Source organism: Homo sapiens, chromosome 22 (genome assembly GCF_000001405.40).
Source record: "Homo sapiens chromosome 22, GRCh38.p14 Primary Assembly".
NCBI lineage: Eukaryota > Metazoa > Chordata > Mammalia > Primates > Hominidae > Homo > Homo sapiens.
In genome coordinates, this window is record NC_000022.11 from 32,189,440 (window position 1) to 32,217,361 (window position 27,922).

At 49.2% G+C, this 27,922-nt stretch overlaps 1 protein-coding gene and 1 long non-coding RNA gene across 16 annotated transcripts in view, besides 2 other annotated features; one reads left to right on the forward strand and one right to left on the reverse strand.

Moving 5' to 3' along the window:
• Positions 1-998: 998 nt before the first annotated feature.
• Positions 999-15,634, reverse strand: RFPL2 (ret finger protein like 2). 15 transcript variants are annotated; one of them, NM_001364982.2, is made up of 6 exons: positions 15,268-15,634; positions 12,894-13,111; positions 6,652-6,765; positions 4,906-4,959; positions 3,463-3,753; positions 999-1,913 (listed from the first exon to the last, which is right to left on the reverse strand). In NM_001364982.2, exons 3-6 carry the CDS (start codon positions 6,656-6,658, stop codon positions 1,333-1,335), a joined length of 933 nt encoding a protein of 310 aa, NP_001351911.1. In that variant the 5' UTR covers positions 6,659-6,765; positions 12,894-13,111; positions 15,268-15,634; the 3' UTR covers positions 999-1,332. The 15 variants fall into 15 exon arrangements, with proteins under 15 accessions (NP_001351911.1, NP_001381483.1, NP_001351912.1 ...); NM_001394554.1 differs by having other exon boundaries at positions 4,906-5,051; NM_001364983.3 differs by having other exon boundaries at positions 4,906-5,051; positions 15,054-15,634.
• A 41-nt stretch (positions 15,635-15,675) lies between these two features.
• Positions 15,676-27,922, forward strand: part of SLC5A4-AS1 (SLC5A4 antisense RNA 1) — a 68,501-nt gene continuing 56,254 nt past the window's right edge. The window contains exons 1-2 of the long non-coding RNA NR_149072.1: positions 15,676-15,808; positions 17,697-17,837. This is a non-coding gene — a long non-coding RNA (SLC5A4 antisense RNA 1). The remainder of the gene's footprint in view (positions 15,809-17,696; positions 17,838-27,922) is intronic.
• Positions 17,078-17,808: an enhancer, noted in NCBI's record as "H3K27ac-H3K4me1 hESC enhancer chr22:32602504-32603234 (GRCh37/hg19 assembly coordinates)". NCBI's record gives its function as "activates a minimal SCP1, AML or CMV promoter by ChIP-STARR-seq in primed H9 embryonic stem cells {active_cell/tissue: H9 hESC(primed)}" and the evidence as "EXISTENCE:reporter gene assay evidence [ECO:0000049][PMID:30033119]".
• Positions 22,663-23,164: an enhancer, noted in NCBI's record as "H3K4me1 hESC enhancer chr22:32608089-32608590 (GRCh37/hg19 assembly coordinates)". NCBI's record gives its function as "activates a minimal SCP1, AML or CMV promoter by ChIP-STARR-seq in primed H9 embryonic stem cells {active_cell/tissue: H9 hESC(primed)}" and the evidence as "EXISTENCE:reporter gene assay evidence [ECO:0000049][PMID:30033119]".

The window sequence follows — 27,922 nt, forward strand, 5'->3', positions numbered from 1 at the left end:
GAACTCCTTTAAATCACAGAATAATATTGTGTTTTATGGATGATGATTTTTTTCATTCACCTCTTGAACATCTTGCTTCTAGTTTGGGTGGTTATAGATAAAGCTGCTGTAAACATTCCTGTGCAGGCTTTGTGTGGACGTAACTTTTCATCTCAACTGAGTACATACCTAAGAGCGCAATTTTTGGATTATATTGTGAAAATATGTTGGGATTCGTAAGAATTTGGTAGATTTCATAAGAGAAATCACCTGGTTCTGGTGTTGTCTTTTTTTGGAATGTTCTTAATGTTAATTCACTTAATAGGCTGTTTCTAGTGTGACCTTGGGAAGATTATGTCTCTCAAGGAATTGATACATTTCACCTAGTTATCAAACTGTGGGAATAGAGTCATCCATAACAGTCCCTGATTATCCTTTTAATGACCAACAGTTTGGTAGACATGGCCCCTCTTTTATTTCTGATATTAGTAATGTGTGTTATCTTTTTTTGCTTTGTTAGCCTGCATATTTATTAATTGTAACAATTACAATTAATAATTACAATAATTAACTGGGGGGAGTTACCATTGTTAATGTAGATGAACACACATCCGGGAAAATGTTACCTATACTGAGCAATGATGGCAACAACTTGTCTTTTCAGTTCTGGATAGGACATAGGCATTTATCCAGCTCTCTGTTCAAATACACACACACCCACACATGCACACACGTATACACACACACTCACACTTTTACTATGAATAAAATATATTGCACTCCTATCATTTAGAAAATCACATAATCCAGCTGGGTGCAGTGGCTCATGCCTGTAATCCCAGCACTTTGGGAGGCCGACGCGGGTGAATCATGAGGTAAAGAGTTCAAGACCAGCCTGGCCAACATGGTGAAACCCTGTCTCTACTAAAAATACAAAAAATTAGCTGAGGTTGGTGGTGGGTGCCTGTAATCCCAGCTACTCAGGAGGCTGAGGAAAGAAAGTCACATAATCCATTAGGTGATATTCCAATCTTTATTTAACTCATAACTTCTATAATACATTAATTTGAACTTGCAGAAATAAAAAAGTAAAGCATTTGGAAATTGATCCCAGAATACAGGACATTTCTATAGGAAACAAGATGTGAACCATAGGACTCAATGAGTTTGATGGTGGCAATAATTAATACTTAGGACTCTATAATCTAATCAAATTAGATTAAGTACAATCAAGAAATGTCCCATATTTTTCTCCCGTGACTTTGTATAATGCTTTTACGAAGTAGAGCGTTCCTAAGTCTACCCACCCAAGTAATTTTCTTACCCTGTTTTTTGTTTTTTTGGAGTGAGGGCTTATTTGGCCTCCCCAGGACGGACTGGAGCATCAGTAGTGCCTGAGTTCATCAAAGGACAGATGCTCAAGACACCTTGATCACCATTAGGTGGAACTGAAGGAGCCAAAAATGGGCGCAATGGCTCCTCAGCAGATACGCTCCTGAATGTATAGACATGGGAACCACTTTCAGCATCAAAAAAGGAAACGTTCTGCATGCCCATATCCAGAAAAATCCCCACTCGCTGTAACTTGCGGTCTACGAAGAGGAAAGTCAGCGGCACCGTGGTGGCAGAGAGGCGGCCTCCATCCCTCAAACTCACAGTCCAGAATCCAAGCTCTGTGGTCAGCTGGATCCTCCCTTTGCGGTGAACAGATTCTCTGCAGACTCCCAGGTCCCATTCTGTGCTTGTTCCCACGTCCACCTCCCAGCAGTGGCGGCCACAGGTAAAGCGAGGGGAGCCCAGGATGCAAACGGACACGTCAAATCTCTCGGCAAGGTCTTGCCGATTCTGTCTGATGCGCCCACTTCGGACGCTCCTGAGGTCGTCAGAAATGAGGAGGAAGTTGTTGGCTGTGTTGGCATCCAAGGTCATATCCACTGTGAAAAGGAAAAAAAGTTGCTCAGCAAATGGACAGAAACCAACCCTATGCCTCTCTTCTACTTCAAAGGCCCAAATATCTCTTGACTTTAGTTTCTTTAATTCTCTTCTTCCCCCAAAATCCAAACTTCATGAGGTAACTTCCCTGACTAGTTCAAATTCTCATAGGTATGCTTTGTGGCAATACCTGACCCTTATTCACAGTAGCAATTCTTATTTTACTTTATGTCATGTGTTTGCTTCATTGGCCTTTTCTTCGTTTAGAGTGGAGGGTCTTTGAAGGCAGACACCATGCCCCCCTTTCTACCACCTTGATGCATGAACAAATAAATGATAAGACAATGCAAGTGGTCGATATTAAATGATGTTTGTTTCCACATTTTTTTGCTTCAATTTAAATAGTATCTAGAGCATGAGTCCAGGCCTTTGTTTTCCATGTTTGTAAACAAATTAATCGTGTACAGTTCTGACAGAAGATGGAATATCTCTGCAGCTGACGGTGTGATGACAGAGGAAGGAGGCAATGTGATCTGGCCTAGAGAAAATTAATTGTCCAGAACATTCTGAAAAAAAAAAATCTACAGAACATATGATCCTTCAAGTCAAAAAACTGATATGATCACCAATATAGATTTTATAGATTACAGTAAGACTTGAAGAGATTGATTGCTGTTTGATGGTGAATTAGGGAATGAAATGAATGGACATGGATAAGGAAGGAGGAAGAGGGTTCCAAACATGACTTGGGCAGGGTGAATCTGTCCTCCATATTTCAGCAGAGAGACAGTCAGTTTTGGGTAGGTGGAAGAGTAGAGATCGTGGGTGTCAGGGCAGAAGCTACCAGTGTCGGGGACATCATAGGGGCCCACCACCATTTATAGGTGTAATTCTGTGCCCAGGCTGACCATAATCTCTTCATGTAAATGTCCCTTTTCTCCAGAGTTATAGAGATGTATAGTATTTTCTGTAGCCAGGACCACTGTTGAAGCCCATGGCGCATGGATGAGGAGAACACTGTCTGAAACTCTCCCCACACTCACAGAAACAAACACCATAGGTGCTCCATTCCCAACTCTTCCCAACCCTGGGGTAAGGTTGTTTGTACAATGGGTGCCAATATTCACCGTGCATTAGAATTACCAGGCCCATTTTAATGTTAGAGTCCTGGGAACCTTTGCTAGAGAGAAATTCAAATTCAGTTGCTCTATGTTTTTGCTACTCAGCAAAGTCCCCAAGCCAGTGGGATCAATCCTGAGACTTCCCAGTTCAGCATCTGCATTTTAACAAGATCCCCAGGTAATCTGAGCACACTAAGTTTAGAGAATCCCTTGTCTAACCCATGACATAGACATCGGGTTTTTGTTTGTTTTTGTTTTTGACATCACCAGGTGATTCTGTATGTTGTCAGGGCTGAGAATCTGATGATGAAGCATCTCAATTTTAGGTGCCAGACAGCAGCTAATCCCCATGTGGAATGAGGGGCCAACTGCACAAATGATTTTTCCTGGTCTGGTCTTGGGAAGGGGGCAGGGTATACAGATGCCTTACCTTGGAACTTCCGCATCCTTGGGTTCATCTGCAGAATCTTCTTCAGCTTGGGCTCCAGTTCCTTGATGTGGGAAGCCAGCCTCTCTAGCTGCCGATTGCGCCTGATTTTGTTCTTCCGAGAGACCATGGAAGAGCAACAGCAAAGTAGATCCTCCCCATGGGGCTCCTTCTGCAGTGAATTAATGCACTTGAGGCAGACGGCGCATCCACACTCCAGGGACATTGGTTTTTCCAGATAGTCTGAGCAGACGGGACAGCTGCTTGCTTCTTGGAAGAGTGCAGCCATGTCCACTGCCAGGGGAAAAGTACACAAGGTAAAAAAATTTCCATGAGGTGAAAGCCTGTTAGTTGTGACAAGTGACAACCTTTTCATGCATAGAGGTATTGTGTTCCAGCTTTGTCACTCCGAGAATAAGACCATGAGTACAAACACTCAAGCACATCCCCCCACCCCCCGTCTTCAGAGATTTGAAGTTCTATTGGGAAAGTCACGAATCATCACTGTGCTCTGAGCTGAGGTGGAGGAAGCGTCCATTCTCCTGGTGACCCAGCAGCTGAGCCTGAGCCAGTGACATGGCAGCACCCATGTGAGGAACAGCGAGCTGGGGTCATTTCACCTCCTCCTAGGGGAACCCCAGCAAGAGACTGATTGATGAACATAAGAATTAGGGGCTGGGAGGCCGGGCACGATGGCTCATGCCTGTCCAGCACTTTGGGAGGCCAAGGTGGGTGGATCATCTGAGGTCGTCAAAAGTTCGAGACCAGCCTGACCAACATGGGGAAACCCCATCTCTACTGAAAATACAAAAGAATTAGCCAGGCGTGGTGGCACATGCCTGTAATCCCAGATACTTGGGAGGCTGAGGCAGGAGAATCACTTGAACCTGGGAGGCAGAGGTTGCAGTGAGCCGAGATCCTGCCATTGCACTCTGGCCTGGGCAACAGAGTGAGACACCATCTCAAAAAAAAAAAAAAAAAAAAAAAAGAGGGGCTGGATGCAGTAGCTCACATCTGTAATCCCAGCATTTTGCGAGGCCGAGGCAGGAAGATCCCTTGAACCGAGGAGTTTGAGACCAGTCTGGGCAACACAGGAAGACCCTGTCTCTACAAATAATACAAAAATTAGCAGAGAGCAGAGATCACGCCAAGTCACTCCAACCTGGACAACAGAGTTAAGACCCGTCTCACCAAAAAATAAAAAAATAAAAAAATAAAAAAAATTACATCCTTCTCCAGCCTTGGAAGTGAATACCAAATTGACTGCCACCACTCTTACACTCCTAGACTGGGGATCCAGGGTGACTGGTTTCCAACTCTGAGGCAGCACTCAGACGGCCTTTGTTGAATTCATTAATTACGAATTTCTCTCATTCATCCCCCCAAGTCATAACCCCCATTTCTAGGCATCTAAGAGGAAAAACACACACACAGGCATGGGCTCACCTCTTCTGCTGGAAGCTCCTCTGTCCTCCAGCTGCTTCCACTGGGCGCTCAGGTCTTGTGGGGAAGGGGCACACGAGGGCCTTTTATTGGTGAGATTCCCACCTCCCACTGGGTCACGCCCTTCCACACCCTCTAACCTGATGAGGCTTTGATTTAATTATAACAGGGAATTAGGTTTTTACTGGTGATATATCTCCAGTTAATTATAACTTCAGTAAATCCTTCATCCTGACAGTGTATTTTTCTTTCATATGAAGGTAAGATTAAATTGCCTTTATATTAAATTAGGCTTAATGTACTAACTTCAAAAGCTTATTTTAGAGATGTTTCCATCAGTTGTCAGTAAAGATAATTCCTGTAATATGTTGTAGGCTTCAAGCTTTGCTTGGAATCCTAAAGTATTAAGTGTGATTGGATTTGCAATTTTACAAAATGGTTTAAATTCATATACATCAGACTCAAAGGTAATAAGGGCAGGCATTCCATTGAGGAAATTCTAGGTACTTTTTATTTGTTTCCATTGGTTTATTTCCGGCTTTGAAAAAATTTCATAATTCATAGGAAAAAATTAGATAATTACTATTTTGACAAATGACCATTAAGCTTCTTGGACCTTGAGTACTTCACAGAGTGTTAAGATAAAAGTCACAATTTAAAAAAAAAGATGATTTTCTTGTGAAACCTGTGTTTTCAAATAAAAATTGTTACCCGTGAAGTGAGTTGTGCTTTCTTCCATTTGAATCAACCCCGAATCTTTTCGTCTTCATGCCTTTCTGTGTAGTGGGATCTTTACTGCTTTGTTTTCAAATTTCAAATAATTTGAATATAATCTTATCATTTTCCCTATCCCTTTGGCACATATTAAAGGAATTTTCTCTTTTTGCGTAATTAAAAATAAAGACCTAATTTTGGTCAGCTTTAAATATGATTCCTCATGGGATTAGAGGACTCTGAGACACTCAGGTCTTGTTTTGGTTTACTTTTTTTTCCTCTTTACTTTCAGTTGACATGTAATAATTGTACATATTTATGGCACACAGTAATATTTTGATACATGCATGTATAATAATCAAGTCAGGATAATTAGCACACTCTAAACATTTCTTTCTTTTCTTTTTTCTTTTTTTTTGAGACAGTGTCTTGCTCTGTCAGCCAGGCTGGAGTGCAGTGGCACAAACTTGGCCCACTGCAACATCCGGCTCCTGGGCTCAAGCAATTCTCCTGCCTCAGCCTCCTGAGTAGCTGGGATTACAGGCATGTGCCACCATGCCTGGCTAATTTTTTTTTTTTTTTAGTAGAGACGGGGTTTCACCATTTTGTCCAGGCTGGTCTTGAACTCCTGACTTCAGGTAACCCGCCCGCCTTGGCCTCCCAAAATGCTGGGATTACAGGTGTGAGCCACCGCGCCCGGCCAACATTTATTATTTCTTTGTGATGGGAGCCTTCAGAATCCTCTTAACTTTCTGAAAATATGCAATCATGTATAAGTGACCATATTTACCCCACAGTTGTGCTAGAGCCCATTTCTCCCATCTAGCTGTAATTTTATATTCAATTACCGACCTCTCCCCAAGCTCCCCTCCCTCTTACCCTTCCCAGCCTCCACCAAAGCCCATTTCTCCCATCTAGCTGTAATTCTGTATCCAATAACCAACCTCTCCCCAAGCTCCCCTGCCCCTTACCCTCCCAGCCTCTATACCCACAATTCTATGCTCTGCTTCTGTGAGCTCAGCATTTTTCTTTTACCTCCCATATAGGAGTGAGAACATGCGGTATTTATCTTTCTGGTCCTGATTTATTTTGCTTAACATAATGTCCTCCAGGCTGAGACTCAGGTCTTGACCCAGAGAAGTGATGAATCTGCAGGTATCGTGGAAATGGCCAGGTTAGTGATTAATTTGTACTTAATTCATAAAATAACAGCTTTGTTTTCAAATTTCAAATAACTTGAATATAATCTATTTCCCTCTCCTAAAGTGTATCACATATTAAATGAAGATTTTTTTCTTTGTATATATATTTTTAAAAGACCTACATTTAGTTCTATTAAAAAATGATTTACAGTGGGATGAGATCACTCCTCGGGATTCAGTGTCTGAGCAAGAAAACAAGGCTTGGGAGACAGTGTGTAGGGAGCCAGGTTAACTTTACGTGATTAGAATGAATTGGATCCGGTCATAAAGCAATCATTTGGGGTTTGCTCTTTGCTGGATTCTGGGTCACTCCACATCCACATGTAAAGACAGAGTCCAGTCCTGGTTTATCCTCTGTGTGAGAAAAACTTTCTGCCAAAACCAGGCTGGATACAATGTAAAGAGTGTGAGAATGACTTATGAAAAGAACCAAATTCACAAGATGATCCTTTCAGCTGCTCCAGGGAAGAAGGAACAGACAGCAAGATAGATTTGCAGAAGAGATGTGATGTCAATGAGACAGCAGCATAGTGCAGGGTGAGGCAGCCAGGGCACAGAGAGCCAGCAAAAGCCACTCGGACAGGTGTGGGAGGGACACGGAGCCACAGTCCGTAAAACCCAAAGGACAACTGTAACACTACTTTTTAGTATTTAAAAGGCAATTTCTTATTAATCTGCTTAATTGACATTCATGGTTTGAGATGTTCCATATTTTTCTGCTGTAACTTTGTTCCATTATCTTGTACCAAGCAGAAAAGTTTCTAGCATTGGGCATAAAGTAACTGTCTAAATAGTTTTGTGGCTAAAAGTTTATTTGCCCTGCTCAGGAGAAACTATAGGTTTGTCAATGCCCAGATTAATCACAGGACAGATACTCAGGAAGATTTGGTCATTGATAATTGAATCTGCAAAAGCAAAAAATGGGCACAGTGGCTCTGCAGCAGAAATCTTAGTGAATGTAAAGATATGAGTCCCATCATTAATGTTATAAAAGGAAATCATTCTCATACACATATCCAGGAAAATGCCTACCCTGCATAGCCCGGGACTGACCCAGAGGGTGGTTAAAGGCACAGTGCTGGCTGCAAAGAGCTTTTCTTTCCTCACACCCACAGTCCAGAAGCCAAGTTCTTTTTTTTTTCTTTTTTTTTACTTCATTTTTTTTTATTATTATACTTTAAATTCTGGGGTGCATGCGCACAACATGTAGGTTTGTTACATACGTATACATGTGCCATATGCTGCGCCCGTTAACTCGTCGTTTACATTAGGTATATCTCCTAATGCTATCCCTCCCCTGTCCCCCCATCCCACGACAGGCCCTGGTGTGTGATGTTCCCCACCCTGTGTCCAAGTGTTCTCATTGTTCAAATCCCACCTACGAGTGAGAACATGCAGTGTTTGGTTTTCTGTCCTTGCGTTGGTTTGCTCAGAATGATGGTTTCTAACTTCATCCATGTCCCTACAAAGGACATGAACTCATCCTTTTTTATGGCTGCATAGTATTCCATGGTGCATATGTACCACATTTTCTTAATCCAGTCTATCATTGATGGACTTTTGGGTTGGAAGTGGGATTTAGAGATCACACTCCGGCTGCTACTTACATAGTCCTTTTGAGTCAGACACTCCAAACACACCCAAAATGAACATGAGACCCTGAGAGGGTGATAGGGGCTTGCTTCCAACTTCTCCCTGGAGGTTGAGGCTGGACTTTCTTACTAGTACCTGGCAAGACCCATCCCAAACTAAGACAACACCAGGGAGGATGGAAGGGAGACCCCTGGAGTTGTGGTTGTGGTCAGATTGGACCTTCCCACGGCTGCTGACTCTGGGCCAAGCTGCCCCTTCTCTGGGGCATTGGGGACACCTGAGGATGCCTCCCTGCTCTTGCTTTGTGATCACACCAAGAGATCAGGGTTACAACAACCCTGTAGTGTAGAGAATCCCTGTCCCTTTCCATGCCCCTTCCCTCCTTAGGGAAGCAAATGCCTTCCAAGGAGCTCCTTCCCCCTATTCCTGGGCCACAGTCAAAGGGAAAACCTGATCCAGACACAAACTTCCTTGGCCTCTGCATTTCCAGATGTCCTGTCATTGCATGCATGGGGTCAGCTGTCCCATCTCAGCTTGAGAAGGGCAGGCAGGTATGTGTGGACTCTCTGCTGAGCAAATGCCCACCGGGGTCAGTGGTTTGGCTTTCCTGAATCACGGCTGCAAGTGGGGGCTGGGGAGGGGGGCGTAGGGGGTCCTAGGGAGTAGATTTTCTATGAGCCTGTGTCACAGTGTGGGGTATTTCATGGAGGACCCGGCTGACTGTCCTAGGTGAGTCTCTTCTTCCCTCTCCTTCCCTGCTCTCCCGAAGGTACTGAGAAATTTTCTATTTTTCTTCTTTTCTGTATCTCGTGTTGGCTTGTGGTAAAGCTTTCTCCAGGGAGAAAGACCCTGGAGGAGCCCGGGCCCTGGGCAAAGACCTCTCCCCTCCCTGTTCAGATCCCTGCCTCAGTGGGTCACCGTGACCCCTTCACCTCTGACCTCAGAGGTACGGCACTAGGCCGGGTGACCTACACAGGTGTTCATCTGTCTGTCCATCTGTCTGTCAGGGCCAGGTTGCTTCCCTAAAACTTGCTCTGTTCTGTCCTCCCCCGTCTGGGCTTTTGTCTGCCTAATGAGCTTTATGCAGGGGAAACTGAGGCCTCATCCCATGGAGAAGAGAGAATGAGAGGCTTGAGGGAGTGACCACCTGCAAGACTTTAGAAGGACCTGGAACCCTTAAAGCCGAGACTGGGGAAGAAAAATCAGAGTCTCAGGGCCTAGTCCTTTGGGCTGTGGGACTCCAGATCCAGTCTAGGAACAAGGTAGGAGGTGCAGGGCCCTCTCCAGGTTTCCGTGGGCTCCCAAGGAGAGAGCTCTGTGCTGGCCTGGGACTCAGGAAGCCCAGTCAGGAGAGAGGGGAAGGCTGTGGACATGAAGCAGCCGGGCAAAGGGTCACAGAAGGACATGCTGTTCGTGGAGGTGGATGCTGAGTCTCTGTGGGAGGCACCCCTAGAACCAAGAACTCCTGAATTCAAATCTGACAGGCAGATCCCAAGGCAGAAAAACTGTAGATAAGACCTAAACACAGAGGGTCTCTAACCGGACTCCACAGACAGAGAACCCTGGACAGACAGTGGGACTTGGGTGAGCAAAGGCCCTGACCCCACTGCAGAGGCTCAGGAGAGACTGATCTGGGAGCAAACAGAGCTATTAGGTGAGAGACTCACTCTCTCCCAACCCAGAGCAGCTGTGTCAGGTGAGAAAAGTTCCCAGACTGAATTCAACAGGAGGCTCACAGAGCTCAGAGAACACAGCCAGAGCCGGACTGCGTCAGGATGATGCGTGGCAGGCAGCGGCAGGCGGTTGAGGGTCTGTTGTCTGTACAAAAGCCCAGGGCCTAGAAAGGTTTTCTGAACAGGTGATGGGCAGGGGACAGGCTCAGAGGTTCCCTGAATGACAGAGATTTGTTTTAGGAACATTGTGTGACACCCTTCTGAGACACTGTGGACCATGTCTGAGGGGTCCTGCACTGGCACTGAGGGGGCCTGACCCCTCTTCATACACTGAGGTCAGGGGGCTCCCAGGTACACAACAGGATGCTGACCTCCTGCCGCTCGCCCACTCACAGGCCAGCCCAAGGCCACCCCCTCGGTCACTCTGTTCCCGTCCTCCTCTGAGGAGCTCCAAGCCAAAAGGCCACACTGCTGTGTCTCATGAGTGGCTTCTACCCGGGAGCTGTGACGGTGGCCTGGAAGGCAAACAGCACCCCTGTCACCCAGGGTATGGAAGTCACCAAGGCCTCCAAACAGAGCAACAAGTACACAGCCAGAAGCGACCTGAGCCTGACACCCCATCAATGGAGGTCCCGCAGCAGCTACAGCTGCCGGGTCACACACAAAGAGAGCGCTGTGGAGAAGACAGTGGCCCCTGAAGAATGTTCTTAGGCCCCTGACCCTCGCCCCACCCATGGGGGCCTGGAGCTGCAGGATCCCAGAACAGGGATCCCCTCCCACCCCAAATCATCCAGCCCTTCTCCCTGCACCCAGGAAACCCTTAATAAATATCCTCACTGTCAACCAGAAATCCTGCTCCCTCTCTTCATTTCTTAGCTAACATATAATTTGACACTCACCCTGGGTTCTCAGTGTGTGTAAGGGGGGATTCCTGGCACCCAGTGGGATAGTAGCCCAGGGGGAGAGGCTCCCAGACTCCCAGGGGTGTCTCCTGGGGAAACAGGCCAGGCCATGCATTTGGTCATTGAACACCTCTCTCTCCATTCTCTCTCCTCTCCTCTTCCTCCTTGCAGCTTGGCCCCCAATTGCTGCCTCCTTCCTGGATGAAGCTGTCCCTGGCTGAACCTTCAGATGCACCCTCTGTCCCTACCTTGGTCAAGACTGTCTACCCACCCACCACGGCCTCTGTTTCTTTAGTCTTGAAATCCTATTCTTGGCCTGGTGCTCCACTGCCCCTGACCCCTGGAATGCCCTCTTTTCTCTCTGCCCAGCTCCCCAGCCCTGAAAGCCGGGCTGTCCAGGACACTGCAGCACCATCAAATTCATGAGGTCTCACGTTTGGGGCCCGCCTCGATTCTTCACCTTACAGCAGGTTCAGAGGCGTAAAAAATTGGGAGGAAGTCAGGACGGAAACACACACAAAAGGCCGGCAGGTGGCTCAGGATGCTTGTGAAAGATAGTATCTGAGCTCCGCAGGAAACAGTGCAAGGAGGGTAATAGGTGTTCCCTTATTTCCTTTTTTTTTTTTTTTTTTGAGACAGTCTCACACTGTCGCCCAGGCTGGAGTGCAGTGGTGCAATCTCAGCTCACTGCAAGCTCTACCTTCCAGGTTCACGCCATTCTCCTGCCTCAGCCTCCTGAGTAGCTGGGACTACAGGCGCCCACCACCACACCTGGCTAATTTTTTTGTATTTTTAGTAGAGACGGGGTTTCACCATATTAGCCAGGATGGTCTTGATCTCCTGACCTCGTGATCTGCCTGCCTCGGCCTCCCAAAGTGCTGGGATTACAGGTGTGAGCCACTGTGCCTGACAAGTGTTCCCTTATTTCTATGAGAATATGCAAAGCATTTGGTCAAGGAGAGTTGGTTTTCTCAATGTTGAAGCCAGGCATGTTTTCACAACTAAAAGCGAGGACCCGTCTTAACCAAGGCCTCAATATTGATGGGATTTGGTCTCTGACACATGCACAGGTGACCTGTGTCTGTAAGTGCACCTACAGCTGCCTGGCAGCTCTAGGACATGGCGATTCTCTCAGGTACTTGGCACAGAAAGTCACTGGCCTTCTTTGGAGGACGCATCATTTATAGAAACACTTCTTTATTGGATCCTGGGTCTCGGGTGGAAAACCAGGTCCCACATCAGGACTTTCTCTGTGAGGCTCCCAGGTTCTGGGGCTCCAGCTGCTCTCTGAGAGGAAGGTGTGGAGACAGAGAACATAGCCCAGCCCCACCCAGCCCCTCTTGCATTGTCCCTGCTCTGTAGGGAGTTAGAAAACTGGGGGCATCAGCAGCAGCAGGCCTGTGTCACTGTGGGTGGGGCCAGGGAGGGGCCGAGGGGCATCCTGGGTGAGTCTCTCCCACGGCTCCTGTTTGACTTGCCCATGGCCACTGTCACAAATGACCCCTAATTTAGTGGCTTAAAATAACACACATTTATTCTCTCCCAGGTATGGAAGTCAGAAGTCCAAAATGAGGCCTGAGCTGCTAAGATCAGGGTGCCAGCAGGGCCGGGCTCCTTCCGGGGGCTCTGAGACAAATCCATTTCCAGAACTTTTCCAGCTTCTAGAGGACGCCCCCAGCTCCTGGCCCTTTCTTCTAACTACAAAGCCAGAGCTCAGCATCTTCAGATCTCTCTCCTGATCTTCTCTCCCCCCACTTTCTGTCTTCCTCTCCCTGGACTCCCCTCTCCTTCTCTCTCCCTCCATCCCCACATCTCCTCCTCTCACTGTGACCCTCCTCCTGCCTTCCTCTTTCCCTTATAAAGACTCCACCCTGGAGCAATGCGGAAAACCCAGAATTGTCTCTCACCTCAGGCTCCTTATCACCATCATGTCTGCAAAGTCCCAGTGGCCACACAATACAGCACATAGACAGATCCTGGATTGGGACACTGCAGTCTCTGGGAAGCCTAATTCAGCCACCTCCATCGGAGGCAAATCATGGTGCCACAGGCTCTAGCCTCCAGCCCGTGGCATGTAGCTCCTTCTCAGGGCACTGGGCATCCGGGCAGACAAAGCCAGAAAAGCCTAGAACAGGATGCAGAGTGGTAACATTAGAGCGCACCTTGTCATGCTGGCCACTGGGTGGCAGGGGCCGGTTTCAGCGAAGGTACTCACACCCACACTTCAAAGTCCAGCCTCTCCTTTTAGCGCAAGCTGGCCAGGAACTGCGGCCTGGAGTGGGGACTGCAGACACCACAGTGCCCGGGCTTCCCACTCCACAGGAACAGCTGCAGCCACCCTGGCTGCACTCCTCGGGAAGCAGGAGCAGCAGAAACTCAACCCCAGCCAGCCCTCCCCACCCAAGTGCCGGTTCCCGTTCCTGATGCCTCCTCCACCCACAGGGCCCTGTAGCCTCCTCGTGTCCACTACTGCGTGCCCCGGGGTCCCAGGCGGTCTCTGCAACACAGAGCAATAGGAGGCGGGTCCAGGAAGCACCACGGGGCTGGGGCCCCTGCCGCGCTCAGGAAATGCTGTGCGCCCGCCGCACTTGAGCAAGAACAGGAGGAGGTGGCCGGGAAGAGGAGGACCGCTCCTCTCTTGCAGACCACCGCTGTCACTGACACCTCCACCGCCCGCCACCGGCAGTGCAGTCCCAGATGGCGCCCCTAACTCATCCGTGCCTAGTACATGCAGCACCCAATGGCGCTGGCAGCCTGCCCCCTGCCACGGGCAGCGCAGCCCGGGATAACTCCCCAAACCCGCTCTGTGCTGTGGGCAGTGCAGCCACGGATACCACCCTCAACCAGCCCCTCGCCACAGGAAATGACTCCCGGGATAGCGCCCCAAATCAGCCCCCAGCCTCGGGCAGTGACGCCTGGAGTAGGTCACCCAACCCAACTCCTGCGCGGGCAGTGCAGCACCAGATAGCGCCCCTAAAACGCCTCCCGCCACCGGCGGTGTAGCCCAGGATAGCGCCGCCAACCCGGTACTCGCCGCGGCAGTGTAGCGATAGGGCACCCAATCTGCCACCCACCGCCGGCAGTGCAACCCCAGATAGCGCACCGAACTCACTCCCTGCTGGGCAGTGCAACCCCACATAGCATCCAACCCGCCTCCCCACCCAGCCACTGGCAGTCCGCCCCCGATAATGTCCCATACACGCTCCTGGCTGTGGGCAGTGCAGCCCATGGGTAGCGCCCCCAACCAGCCCCCAGCCATGGGGAGTGATGCCTCGGATAACACACCCAACAAGTTCCCCACCATGGCACTGATGTCCCAGGTAGCGCCCCCAATCCTTGCCCCTCAGCGACCAGTGCAGCCATGGATAGCGCCCTCAACAAGCCCCTCCACTGACCCCCGCCGCTGTGGGAAATGACGCCCGGGATAACGCACCCAACCCTCCCCCGCCATGAGCAATGCAACACGCACTACTGCTCCTTACACGCCCCCCACTACATGCGGTGTAGCCAACGATGGCGCCCCCATCTCCCCCTCGCCTCGGGCAGTGTAGCTCCCGATAGTGCATCCAACCCATTCCCTCTGCCCCTCTCCTCCCACCGAGTCAACCACCGCCGGCAGTCCAACCCCAAATAGCGCACCCAATCCACTCCCTGCCAGGCAGTGAAGCCCCCCGATAGCACCCAACCCGCACCCCCACCCCCGCCACTGGCAGTCCGCCCCGATAACGCCCCAACACGCTCCTGGCTGTAGGCAGTGTAGCCCATAGATAGAGCCCCCAACCAGCCCCCAGCCAAGGGCAGTGACGCCTCGGATATCACAGCCAACAAGTTCCCTGCCATGCGCACTGATGTCCCAGATAGCGCCCCCAACCCGTACCCCAGCGCGACCAGTGCAGCCACGGATAGCGCCCCCAGCAAGCCACCCCGCGGCTGCGGGAAATGACGTCCGGTAAAGCACCCAACCTTCCCGTGCTGTAGGCAGTGCAGCACCCAATACTGCCCCTAACACGCCTCCCACCACCGGGTTGTAGCCCACGATGGCGCCCTCAATCCGCCCCCGCTCCCACCTCGGGCAGTGCAGCTCCAGATCGTGCATCCAACCTGTCCCCCTCCCCGCCCCCTGCCGCAGGCAGTGAGCCCTGGATAGCTCATCCACCCCGCCACCTTTCTACATTCTGGCTGCGGTCTAGTCTCCCTCACCGCCACCAACGGCAGCGAGCCGAGCCATGCTGCTGCAGGCTTTCAAGCCTCCAGCGTGGGACAGGTGACTCCTCCTCTAACCTGGGCATGGAGCAGATGGGCTGGCAGACGCAGAAGTGCCTGGAATGGCAAGAACCCCTCCCCCCACAGACCGAGGTTATGCAAGTAAGGTTTCTGGACTACATGTTCAGATTGGATGAGAGAAAAACCTCTAGGTCTACTCTGATTGTGCTTTATTTTCACGTTCTGACTGGATGACAGCAAGTCTTAGGATAACCAATCAGAACAAGATAACAAAGCCCGATCAGAGTAGGCCTAGAGGTTTCTCTCATCCGATCAGACTATGTAGTCGAGAAACTTCATTTGCATTAAACTCAGTATATAAAGGATGCCAAGAGGGGTGGCTTGCCCTTCCAGGCTCATCTGCGTCGGCCTGCGTAGCTGCTCTGTGCCCGGCTTAGAGGAGAAGGAGGAGGAGCCACTTGCCGCGCATGCCAGAGGCTAGAGTCATCTACCGCGCATGCTGGAGGCTGGAGCCTACAGTGGCTCACCTCGCTGCTGCGGTTGGTGGCCGCGAGGGTGACTACAGCGCAGCCAGAATGGTGAAAAGGTGGCAGAATAGGTTCGTTATCCCAGGCCGTACTGCCTGTGGCGTGGGGGGCGGGTTGGGGGCCCTATCCAGGGCGTCACTGCCCGTGTTGGGGGGCTGCTTGAGTGTGGTACCTCGGGCGTCACTGCCCGCTGAGGGGAGTGGGGTGGGGGCGCTATCCGGGGGCGCTATCCAGCCTATGGCTGGAGATGGGTTGGGGCGCTATCCGAAGCTGTAATTCCTGCGGCAGTGGGGAGTTTTGGGGGCACTATCTGGGGATGCACTGCCCGCGGCCGGGGGGCGGGGGTGAGTTAGTAGAACTATCAGGTGCTGCAATGCCCTGATGCCCTTGTTGGGGACAGGTTGTGGGGGGCTGGTGGGTGCAACACTGCTGGTGGCGAGGGTGGGTGCTGCTATCCGGTGCTACTCTGCCTGTGGGGGACGGGGGCGGGCGTGATATCCAGGGCATCATTGCCTGCATCTGGGAGCTGGTTGGGGACACTATCCATGGCTGCACTGCCCACAGTGGGGAGCGGGTTGGGGGCACTATTTGGGGCTGCAATGCTGGTGGTGGGGGACGGGTTAGGGTCACTATAGGGTGCTACACTGCTGGCAGTGGGGAGGGGGTTGTTGAGGGCGCTCTCTGGGGGCTACACTGAGACAGGTAGCGGGGGGTTGTTGGGATTGGTACCGGGGCTGGACTGCCCATGGAGAGGGGGTGGGGGCGTTGGTTGGGGGCGCTATTGAGGGCCGGGTACACTGCCTGCGGTGGAGGGGTGGGTTGGGTGCTATCAGGGGTCTGTACTGCCTAGCAGGGAGCGGGTGGGTGTGCTATCTGGGGCTGCACTGGCTGCAGCAGGGGCAGGTTGGGTGCACTATAGGGGGCTACACTGCCCTTGGCAGGGGGTGGTTTAGGTGAGCTGTCTGTGGCCGCACTGCCCGAGGTGGGGAGTAAGTTTGGGTGCTATCTGTGGCTGCACTGCCTGGAGGCAGGAAGTGGGTTGAGGGTGCTATCCTGGGCTGCTTCTCCTGGTGGGGAGCAGGTAGGGGCACTATCCAGGGTTGCACTGCCCGGGGTAGGGGGCGATTTGGGTGCCATATCGGGGCATCACTGCCCACGGCAGGGGTCTGGTTGGGGTCGCTACCCATGGCTACACTGTCTACAGCCACTGCCTACGGCAGGGAGCGGGTTGGGGGCGCTATCCCGGGCTGCGCTGCCCAAGGCAGGGGGTGGGTTGCGGGTGCCATTGGTGCTGCAGTGTCCGAGGCAGGGGCGGGTTGGGGTTGCCATCTGGTGCTACACTGCCAGCTGTGGGGGAGGGTCGGGGGCGCTATCGGGGGCTGCACCGTCCCCCTGGTGGTGGGCAGCGGAGGTGTCAGTGACAGCGGTGGTCAGAGGAGGTGAGAGGGACTCCAGTCTCTAGAGGGCCATCTCCTTCTGCTCCTGGCCAGCACACAGCATTTCTGCGGGGATCCTGAGCACGGCCCGGCCCCTAGACCTGCTGTGGTTCCCAGGCGCGCGCCCTCTCACCATGTGTTGCTGAGACCGTCTGGGACCCCTGGGCACACAGTAGCGGACATCATGGAGTGACAGGGCCCTGTGGGTGGAGGTGTCAGGAAGAGGTACCGGCACTTGGGTGGGGAGGGCTGGCTGGGGTTGAGTTTCTGCTGCTTCTGCTTCCTGAGGAGCGCAGCCAGGGGTGGGCCCAGCGATTCGTGCCGAGTGGGAAGCCCGGACGCTGTACTGTGGTGTCTCCAGTCCCCACCCCAGGCCCCAGTTCCTGGTGAACTTGGGCCAAAAAGGGAGGCTGGGCTTTGGAGGGTAGGTGTGAGTGCCTTTGCTAAAACTGGCCCCTGCCACCTAGTGGCCAGCATGACAAGGTGAGACTCTAATGCTACCACTCTCTGCATCCTGTTCTAGGCTTATCTGACTTTGCCTGCCCAGTTGCTCCGTGCCAGGAGGAGGAGCCACTTATTCCATGCTGGAGGCTGGAGCTGGGGGCACCGCAGCTCACCTTGCTGTGGTTGGTGGTGGCGATGGAGACTACAGAGCACCAGAGCGGTAGGAGAGCAGCAATGGAGACTGCAGAGTGCCAGAGCAGTAGGAGGGCGGCTGGCTGCTGCCTGGGCAAGGGCAGGCCTGCTGTGGTATCCAGGTGGTAGGAGCCTTGTAGGGTGGACCAGTGGACTGAGGGCAACAGGAACAGTGGTTGTATTGGCATCAGTGCTAGTGGTGGCAGCAGCAGCAAGTCTGGAGGTTGGGAAGGCGGGTAGGAGCGCTCCAGGGCTGACCCGCCCGGCTGGGCCTGGCCTGGGGTGGGTAGGAAGCTGTGGGCCTCTGGGGCAGCGGTGGAGGCGCAGCCTGGGGAAGGAGGAGTCTCCTCCGCTTCTCCTGCAGAATCTGGAGGGCGCCCTCCTCCTGGTAGGTCCTGAGCCAGGCGTGAGTGGCAGCATTGTGTCATTATTAACAAAGTTTGGGTAGTGACTATTTGTGTATCTTTTTGCTTGTTTTTTGTTGGGATAGTCTTGGGCTTTTTTAAATTTCATGAATCAGGGAGGGGACAAAAGCTGTAATAGGACTCCTGATTCCCTTGTCTGTTCTTTTTCTTTTCTTCTCCTTATCATCATTTTCTTGTTCCTCTTCATTTTCTTATGCTGCTGCTTCTATTTCTTGTAGCATGTGGAGGAGGGAGTGGGAGATAGAGACCAGGCCCTCTCTAGAAACAGTCACATCCTGGAGGAACGGTGATGTATTTTCTGATGAGGATTTTCATTCATGAGATGTGTGCAGAGTGACCCTGGCTAGGTGCCCAAAAGCCTCCTTGTCTATGGTGTGACTCCAGGCCCAGGAGGCAACCCCGTTTTTGTAGAAGAGCCTGTCCTGGAAGCATCTGTCCTGAGAGCACCTGATGGCACAGTAGGGAGCTGAGAGCAACTGAGTCAGGAGGGACAATGGCCAGCCCCTCCCAGGATTCCTGCCTTGGGCAGATGCTGGCCCACTGACTTACAGCCCAGGGGCTGACAGGGGTGTCTTGTCCAAGCCACTGTGGGCAGGTGTTGCCTAGGCAGTGTGGTGTTGGATGACACCGAAGCTGCTGCACAGCCTGGGGTATTCATCTCTGGCAGACTGAGGGCCAGGTACTGCACATCCTGAGGTGTTCATCCCTGCCAGACCGAAGGCCACGCCCAGGCAGCTCCCCATCCCCTGCCACAACAAGGCCTCATTTTTCCCACAAACCAACTCCATGCACCCATCCTCCAGGCCCCTGAGTATGCCAAGCACCAGGCCCGGTGAGCCCTGGTCTCTCTGTGCTGCAGCCACGCACCTGCCTAGGGACCTCCTCCTCACCTTCCTGCCCCTCATGCCAGTTATACCCCACATGCTGTGAGGCTGAAGTCAAGCAGGGAAGCAGCAGAGAAGGCATGGAGAGCGACAAGCCCCACAGCAGGGTGTGAAGGAAGGCCTCTCCAGGTCAGTGTCCTTGTCTAGCCCCCAGGCATGTGCTGCAGGCATTTGGGCCCTTTACTTCTTCTTCCAAGGGAACCACAAACAGCCCTGGGGTCCAGGGGGTTATTGGCCAGATCTCCAGAGAGTGACTCCAGGGTCCTGGTCTCCAAGGGAGAAGAGGGTTTGGGGAGAGGCCTTTGGTCAGGCATGTGGCGCATGCTATTCCTGAGCAGGTCGGGCAGCTGGTGCTTGCCTGGCTAATGCAGTTTCTGCTGGGCCTCTCTTCCTGGAGGAGAGTGTGGCCTCTTTCCCAGCTGTCTTTTAGCCAAGATGCACAGAAAGCAGACCAGAGATGCAGGTCACAGCCAAAGCAAGTGGCAAGTGGTGCTGCTTCCCAAGGGACATTGCCGTGGCTGTTCTGTGGCTCTGAGATGCTTGGGGTGCCCACCTGGAGCTGTGAGCTGGCCTGGCAGGCCTGGGAGGGCCCTATGGGCTCTTTTGAAAGTTCACTTTTGTTGAATTTTACATAGAATCTTCCCATGTCCACTCCCCAGTACTCTTTTCTGCTGTCCCCAGACAGTGCCAGCAGAGGCCACGTGCTGTCTAAATATGTCCGCAGGCACTCAGTGCAGGGTCCTGGCCTGAGGGGGCATGAGGCCAGCATCCCTCACTTTAGGACCGGGAAGTCAGTTCTCAGGCTTCCAAAACAGCTGAGACAGCTGCCACTTCCTGTCACTTAAGCCTGGTCTCTGTACCTCACTTTCCTTCTGGGACCTCAGTGCCTTCTTCCTACAAGATACTGGTGTTCACGTCACTAGCTCTGGGACTCGGGAGGAGACTGAGGCACACAGATGATCAGTTGTAATCACATGGACTCAGGGTGAGGTCCAAAGTTAACCAGCACGTGGCTGAGATCTCAACCATAAAGTTTCTAATTCTAAAGTCAGGCTCTGGGGTGGAGTGAGTGTGTGCTTGGTACGTGGCTGAGTCTGTGATGGTCAGCCTGTGTGAGGGGAGGATCCGGTCAAATGAGCAAAGGCACCATCCCAGGCACAGAATGTGCATCCTGTGGTTGTTGGGGGGAGTCTGTCAGAGTCTTATTCTGGACTAGAGTCAGGACTGGGTCCCATAAGGTCAGGGCAGGGTGAGTGTGACCTTGGGGCTACAGGCAAGGCCAGGCATCCAAGGGGTCTCAACTGCCCCAAACAACCCCATCCTGCCAGGCCCCACTCCCCCTGTCCCTCCCTCCCATTGTTCAGTCCCCTCACCCCCTCACCATGGGCACCTGCAGTCTCATTCAGAGACACCCTCATCTTAGAGTCCCTGATAGTGGGGAGTTTGGCCCCTCAGAGGCCTTGGTTGCTTTGGTCAATCCATAATGCCTGGGCCTGGGACCCCCACCATTTCTTGTTCATCAGGGACACAGCAGCTGTGAAGGCAGCTGCCTTCACCAGAGCAGCGATGTAGCCCAGCAAGGGCAGGGACAGAGACGCAAGGTCTGGGGGATTTTTCCACAATGCTGCAGAAAGAAAGTCCCTGTGGAGCTCAGTCTCAGCCATCCCTGCCCCAGCTGTGAGCTGAACTGAATTTCAGGCATCTCAGAGTCCCTTCACCTTTGCATGACCCATTTCCAGGACATGACAGGTCAAGCCCATGGGAGAGGGGATCACCCAGGTCTCCCTCATCTCCATGGACCTCCTGGGAACATTGCCAGGGTCCACTCCACCCCTGGACGCTGTCCCCAAGCTTCACCCTCTTTTTATAAGTTGTACATTTTTATTATGAAGATCTTTGAACACAAAAATAGGGAGATGAAAGAATAATAATGTCCCCAAGGTTCCCATCACCGAGTCCCCATAATTTTTGATTTTCAAATAATGTTGACTCACCCACAACAGAGTAAACGATTCCCTCAGACAATAGTCTGAAGCAGATGCGAAAGCCATCACAAACTTAAATGGAGAGAATCAATGATTTCTTGACACGAAAAAACAGTTAACGAGGGTCTCACCAAATGTCTTGTGAATTTCATTGTGTATATTTTTAGTTGACTTCGTGGTGCATTACGTATTTGTGGATTTAACTTTAGTTTCTATGTGGAGTAAATACTTGATGTTATCAGTGGTGAATGTGTTTTTAGACCCATTCTATCTACAGCTGTCTCCCAAATGGCTGTCAGGCTTTTCCTGGCAAGGCAGGAGTGGCAGGAGCAGAGAGCTGGTCCTGAGACCCTCCCACAGTCAGGATGCAGCCACTGCCTCCCTGAGCAGGAACCCAGTGCTTCCTTTAGCTTCTCTTTTCCTGAAAAATTGTTCTAGCATCAAGAGGCTCAGTGGGGTTCAGGCTGGACATTGGCATAACTGCTTCCTAGGACATGTGGTTACTTCTAGCAAAGCCACCCATGTTCATCATTCTTTTAGTGACATTAGCTGTGTTTGATGATCGATAACTTTGTGCTTCAGATAAAAAGGAAGACAGAGGGTTGAGGCTTCCATTCACCTCCTCGTGAGAGCTGCAGTGTGTCGCTGAAGGGAGGGCCCAGCAGCTGTGCTATGAACCTAGGAGTGTGCTTCCTGCTTTGGAAAAAAGGAAGAAAAGTAGTTTCTTCCCTTTTATTCACCACTTTGATAATGGACGATCTGGTGCTCGGCCATACTCGAGGGTGAACAGAACAACATAGAGCCAGAGTGAGCTCCAGCATGTGAGGACATCTGACATGTGGGATCCACTGCGGTTATATTGAATTGGTGATCATGATGTGGCTACAAAACATAAACATTTGCCCACTGAGCACCTCCTCAGGGGGCACCTCATTTTCTTTCATTGCTCCGGAAGCTTCAGTGGCTCCTGATTTCGCAGAGGATGAGAGGTCCTGTCTTGTCATGTCCCTTTCCTGCCCCAGGCCTGGGATCCCCCACTGATCCCACTTCCCTTAGGAGGAGGAGGTATTTAAGGACCACACCCTGGAGACTCTCTCATGTCCCCCATTTGAATAAGGAAATGGTAGCCATCACCCCACCTGACCTACCCAATGTAAAACCAGATTGAGGGGTCCAGGGATCAAGGATGGAGCTTCCATTTTGTTGAGGGGGACCAGCCGGGCCTCACTGGCCAGGGCCATCCCAACTGGGTCAAGACCTGGGAAGATGGGGCTGAAACTCCTGGAGTCAGGGCTAGGTTAATGGGAAGGTTCCCAGGACACTGCACTCTAGGGTAACCAGCTTCTCCCTGGAGGGAGAGGGTACTGTCTGCATCACCCCATGGTATCACCAAGCAATCAGTGTTGAGTCAACTCCCCCAGGGAGACCAGGTATCCCTGTCCATGAAAATTCCTCCTAGTGGCATAAATGCCCTCTGATAAACTCATCCCCATGACTACATGATGGTTGGTGGGAAAACCAAACCCAAGACGCCGATGTCCTCCAGGGATCCTGCTGCTGGTCACAGGATGTCACTTGTCCCCTTATCTGTGGGGGTGAGGGTGAGGGGTGTGTGGACTCAATGAGCAGATGCCACCAGGGGGAGTGGCCAGAGCTTCCTTCCTCACAGCTGCAGTGGGGGCTGGGGGTAGGGGCATCCCAGGGAGGGGTTTTTGTATGAGCCTGTGTCACAATGTGGCGCTGGGTCTGCTGGCGGGCCTCCTGATGGTTCTTGCCTGTGCCCATGGCAGCAGGTGGGACAGAACAATCCTCAGGCTCCCAGGTGCTTGCCTGGAAGTGCAGCGGCGGCGAGTGGGGCAAGTCTTCCCTCAAGCCCTGGGACAGTATCTGGGTGGGCTGGTTCCCAGACACAATGAAGGTACGTGCAATTTTGTGTCAGCCCTGCTGCTGGGGGTGGGATGTGGGGTTGCTGTCAGTGGCAGCAGCCACAGGCAGATGGCTCTCAGGCTCATGCACTTGGGTTTCCTTTGTCATGGAGCTGGCCTCCTTGGTGCACTGCATTGCCCATTCCCTGGGGTGTAGGACTCTTGTGTGGGCTAGAGTGCTGGAGACGCGGTCAAACCGCTGGTCTAGCCGGCATCATGCTGCTGTAGCCCTCTAAGTGGATAAGGGGAGATGTCAGGGGGGCTCTAGGGATGTGGAGATGCAGGGCTGTTGGGCCCCAGGGCAAGAGGCAATCCTCATGGGGTCTGGGCTCTCAAAATGGCACGTGCTGGAGCTTCTTGGATCTAAAGTGTGTGTGTGGTACCCAGCACGACTCCCTCTGGAACAATGCCATTGCGTGGACAAGTACAGGCAGCATCCTATGCTGTCTCAGGGCCCACAAGAGCTGAGGGGCTCTCCCATGGCCAGGGTTGCAGGAATCTGTGGTGGGAATGTGGACCCCTGGGAATCTCTCACTTACCTTTTCCCCTGCACTGGGGAGCTCATCTGGTCTTGCTTTTCTCTCCTTCCATATCTCGGATGGTTCTGTCACTTCCCCGCTGAATTCCAGCATTCTCTGTTAGATGCTCTATTTGACATGTGATTATCTGTTTTGCTCCTTCTTTGTGGAGGAGACGAATGTTGGGCACCTCTAGTCAGTCACCTTGAAGCTCTTCTCCAAGTGTCATTTTTTTTTTTGAGTTTTAAAGTTGGCCTGTTGGTCTTTTTATTCCGGATACAACTCCTTTGTCAGACGTGTGCGTACTCTAAGTATTTTCAGTTATTTTGTGGGTTGTTTGGTCATTTCCTTTAAGGTGACTTTTGTTGGCTAGAAGTTTTCAATTTTGATGTAGTTCAATATATTGCTTTTTTCTCCTATGATTGGTAATTTTTGTGTCCTCTGTATGAAGACATTGTCTATTCCAAGGAGGTTATATTATATATATACACACACACACACACACACACACACACTATATATATATATACACACACTATATATACACACTATATATACACACACTATATATATACACACTATATATGTATGTGTGTATATATATACATATATGTATACATATATATCTATATATGTATACATATATGTATACATATATATCTATACATATATGTATATATCTATATATGTATACATATATATCTATACATATATGTATATATCTATATATGTATACATATATATCTATACATATATATGGATATATATCTATATATGTATACATATATATCTATACATATATATGGATATATATATCTATATATGTATACATATATATCTATATATATAGCAGGGAAGCCCAAGTCTGTTTCTTCCTATCCAAATGCAGTTCAACAGTTAGGCTTACTTGTCTCTTTCTCATTTATTTATGGGAGCTCTTTTTTTCCTGTTTTGTAATATCTTTTGGACTCCACATTTTCAATTTCATTTGCACTGCCTTTTGATATACAAAATGTGTTTATTATTTTTAGGTTTCCTGTTTTAAGAATGTTCCTCACCTTAAACCACTTGATAGAAAAATAGGAAAAGGTTATAAATAGGCAACTAATTGAAGTTAAAATAACTGATTAGTTAGCACTCCTGTGAGATTTTTCACCAAGGGAATTAGCAAGATATATATATTTTTTGAAAAAGCAACAACTTTTGTTGCTACTGAGCCTGCAGGGGAAACGGTCCTCCTGCTTGTTCCCTGTTGATGGGAATGTGAATTGCTTCAACTTTTTGGAAAGTAACTAATCAGTATCTATTAAAAGTGTAAGTAAACATAGCTATGGCTAAGTTATACCACTACAAAGATTCTGTCCTGTAGAAATGAAACCATCCAGTGTAAAAGATGATTGCTACAACACTATTTGTGGTGGCAAAGAGTACTTAACTTGAATGTCCATCTGAAGGGGAATTGTTGGCTGGATGCAGTGGCTCATGCCTGTAATCCCAGCGCTTTGGGAGGCTGAGGTGAGTAACTTGAAGTCAGGAGTTCAAGACCAGCCTGGGCAACATGGCAAGATCCCATCTCTGAAAAAAATAGGGTGTGGTGGCATGTGCCTGTAGTCCCAGATACTTGGAAGGCAGAGGCAGGAGGATTTCTTTGGCCCAGAAGTTGTTCTTTTAATTTCTGGCCTTACTGAATCACTGGGCCCAGGAATTGCAGGCTGCAGCAAACCATGATAGTGCCACTGCATTTCAGCTTGGGTGACAGAGCAAGAACTTGTCTTAAAAAAAAAAAAGAAAGAAAGAAAGAAAAGAAAAAGCGGGAATTGCTAAGGAAATAAAATACATTCAATATTATAAATTAGGCAGAAATTAAAATAAATACATTTGATCTACATTAGTTAGGCTTAGTAATGTCCACAATGCAGTATAAAGAGAAAAAAGTAAATTGCAATATAATGTAGGATTTCAGTATGTCATTTCAAACAAAACAGACAACAAAACCCTGAAAAGACAATTGAAAGTAAGTCACAAAACCCAGAAGTCATAAGAGAAAAAGAAACAATTTGACTAAATATAAATTAAAGCTTCTGTACAATAAAAGACAACATAAAGTTACAAGGCAAGACATAGACTTTAAGACAAAATACTTGCTATTCATATGCAAATAATAAATATATAGAATATGTAAAGAATATCTGTAAATGAATTAGAGAATTGGTAAAGGATATCAAGTAATTCACAGAAAAAATATGAATAGCTAATAAATACATGCAAATATATACAATCTCACTAGTAAGTGGAGAAATACCAATTTAAAAAATGAAACTATTTTTCAATCATCAAATTGACAAAAATTCACTATGATTGGTAATATACCCTGTAGTCAAGCATGTGAGTAAATAAAAACTCTCATATACTGATGAGAATATAAATTGGCAAATCCTTTTTGAAACATAATTTTTAATCAAAATATTAATGCTTGTACACTTTGCTCCAGTATTCCATTTCTAGGAAAATAAAGAAAATAAAACTAGCAAATATGTCAAAAGATGAATATACAGGTATGTCTATTTGAGTATTGTAGATAATAGCAAATAATTGAAACCAACATGAATGCTCCTTAGTAGAAAAGTGGCCAAATTATAGTGAACTATCCTATGGAACAATAGTGCAGCTATAAGAAGAATGAGGGAGATCTATTTGTACAGATAGGCAAAGATCTCCAAGATATATTTTATGTGTAAAAGCCAGTCACAAAATAACACATAAAGGAAGATTGCATTTTGTAAATGTATGTGTATGTTTACATATGTATATAAATTAATAGAAAAATTACTTACTAGAACATATGCTTTAACTTGTCAACACTTCTTTGGGAAGTTAGTGACAGTAGATGAGAGGATTAGGTTGTCAGTGAAGAGTATTATATTTAATTCTACAGACCCAAGGGCATTGTTTGAATTTTTATAACAATATGATGGATATGTTTCTTTAATTTTTATTATTTTTACCCAGGAAGAGACAGTCTCCAGCATGTGCTGAAAGTGCTCTCTCTTCCATGTTTCTTTTTTGAGATGGAGTCTCACTCTGTCACCCAGGCTGGAGTGCAGTGCTGCGGTCTCGGCTCACTGCAACCTCCGCCTCCCAGGTTCAAACGATTCTCCTGCCTCAGCCTCCTGAGTAGCTGCGACTACAGGCGTGTGCCACCACGCCCAGCTAATTTTTTGTATTTTTAGTAGAGACAGAATTTCACTATGTTGGCCGGGCTGCTCTCGAACTCCTGACCTCGTCATCTGCCCGCCTCATCCTCCCAAAGTGCTGGGATTACAGGTGTGAGCCACCGCGCCCGGCCCTCTTCCATGTTTCTTACGTAATTTATTAAAACATATTTTAGTTTGTTGACTTGCTTACAAAAAGGTGTGTCTTAAACCTCTCTACAATTCTACATAGAGATAATTGTCATTCACTGTGTTAAAACAGAAATAAAGACAGAGAAATACGTATATTCAAGGATGCCAATAAATGTTAATATCTAAAATTGGATTGTGATAATTGTTGCAAAACTCTGTGAATATATTAAAATACACTGAATTATATGCTTTAAATAGATACATTTTATAGTATGTGAATTATATTTTAATGAAGCAGTTAAAAATCAATGGTTTGATGTTTTAGTATTCAGTGACAAATGGCTTTAAGATGTAAGCAATAATTTCCAGTATATTTAAAAGATATTTACAATGGATATTTCTAGTTCACCCCCCTGTCAACTATTAGAAAACATTTTTATATTTTAAATCCTTGAAATAACTGAGTGAAGGTCGCTTCACAGGAGAAGTCACTGTGGTGTAGATGAGAAGGTTACTAGGTGAGGCAGAGTTGGAAGAGGCATTCTTTTCAAATGGAAATCTCTGGAAACTTCAGAAAGCAAGTATGAGGTAGGGAAATTTGCCTGGTGTATTAGTCTGTTCTCACACTGCTAATAAAGACATACCCAAGACTGGGTGATTTATAAAGGAAAGAGGTTTAATGGACCCGCAGTTCAGCATGGCTGAGGAGGCCTCAGGAAACTTACAAGCATGGTGGAAGGGGAAGTAAACACGTCCTTCTTCACAAGGCGGCGAGAGAAAGAAGTGCAAAGCGAAGTAGGGGGAAGCCCCTTATAAAACCATCAGAAACCATCAGATCTCATGAGAACTCACGATCACAACAGCAGCAGCACGGGGATAACCGCCCTCACAATTCAATTACCTCCCACCAGGTCCTTCCCACAACGCGTGGAGATTATGGGAACTACAATCCATGATGAGAGTTGGGTGGGGATACAGCCAAACCATATCACCTGGTCATTTTCTTTTTAAGGCTTCACATATAAGTGAGAT

Coding starts and splice junctions, on each gene's coding strand:
- RFPL2 (NM_001394554.1), bottom strand. CDS start 13,012: ATGGAGGTGGCTGAATTAGGCTTCCCAGAGACTGCAGTGTCCCAATCC. Junction 5,052..6,651: donor TTCTCACTCCTATATGGGAG/GTAAAAGAAAAA, acceptor ATTAAATCAAAG/CCTCATCAGGTTAGAGGGTG. Junction 3,754..4,905: donor AGGAGCTTCCAGCAGAAGAG/GTGAGCCCATGC, acceptor TTCCCCTGGCAG/TGGACATGGCTGCACTCTTC.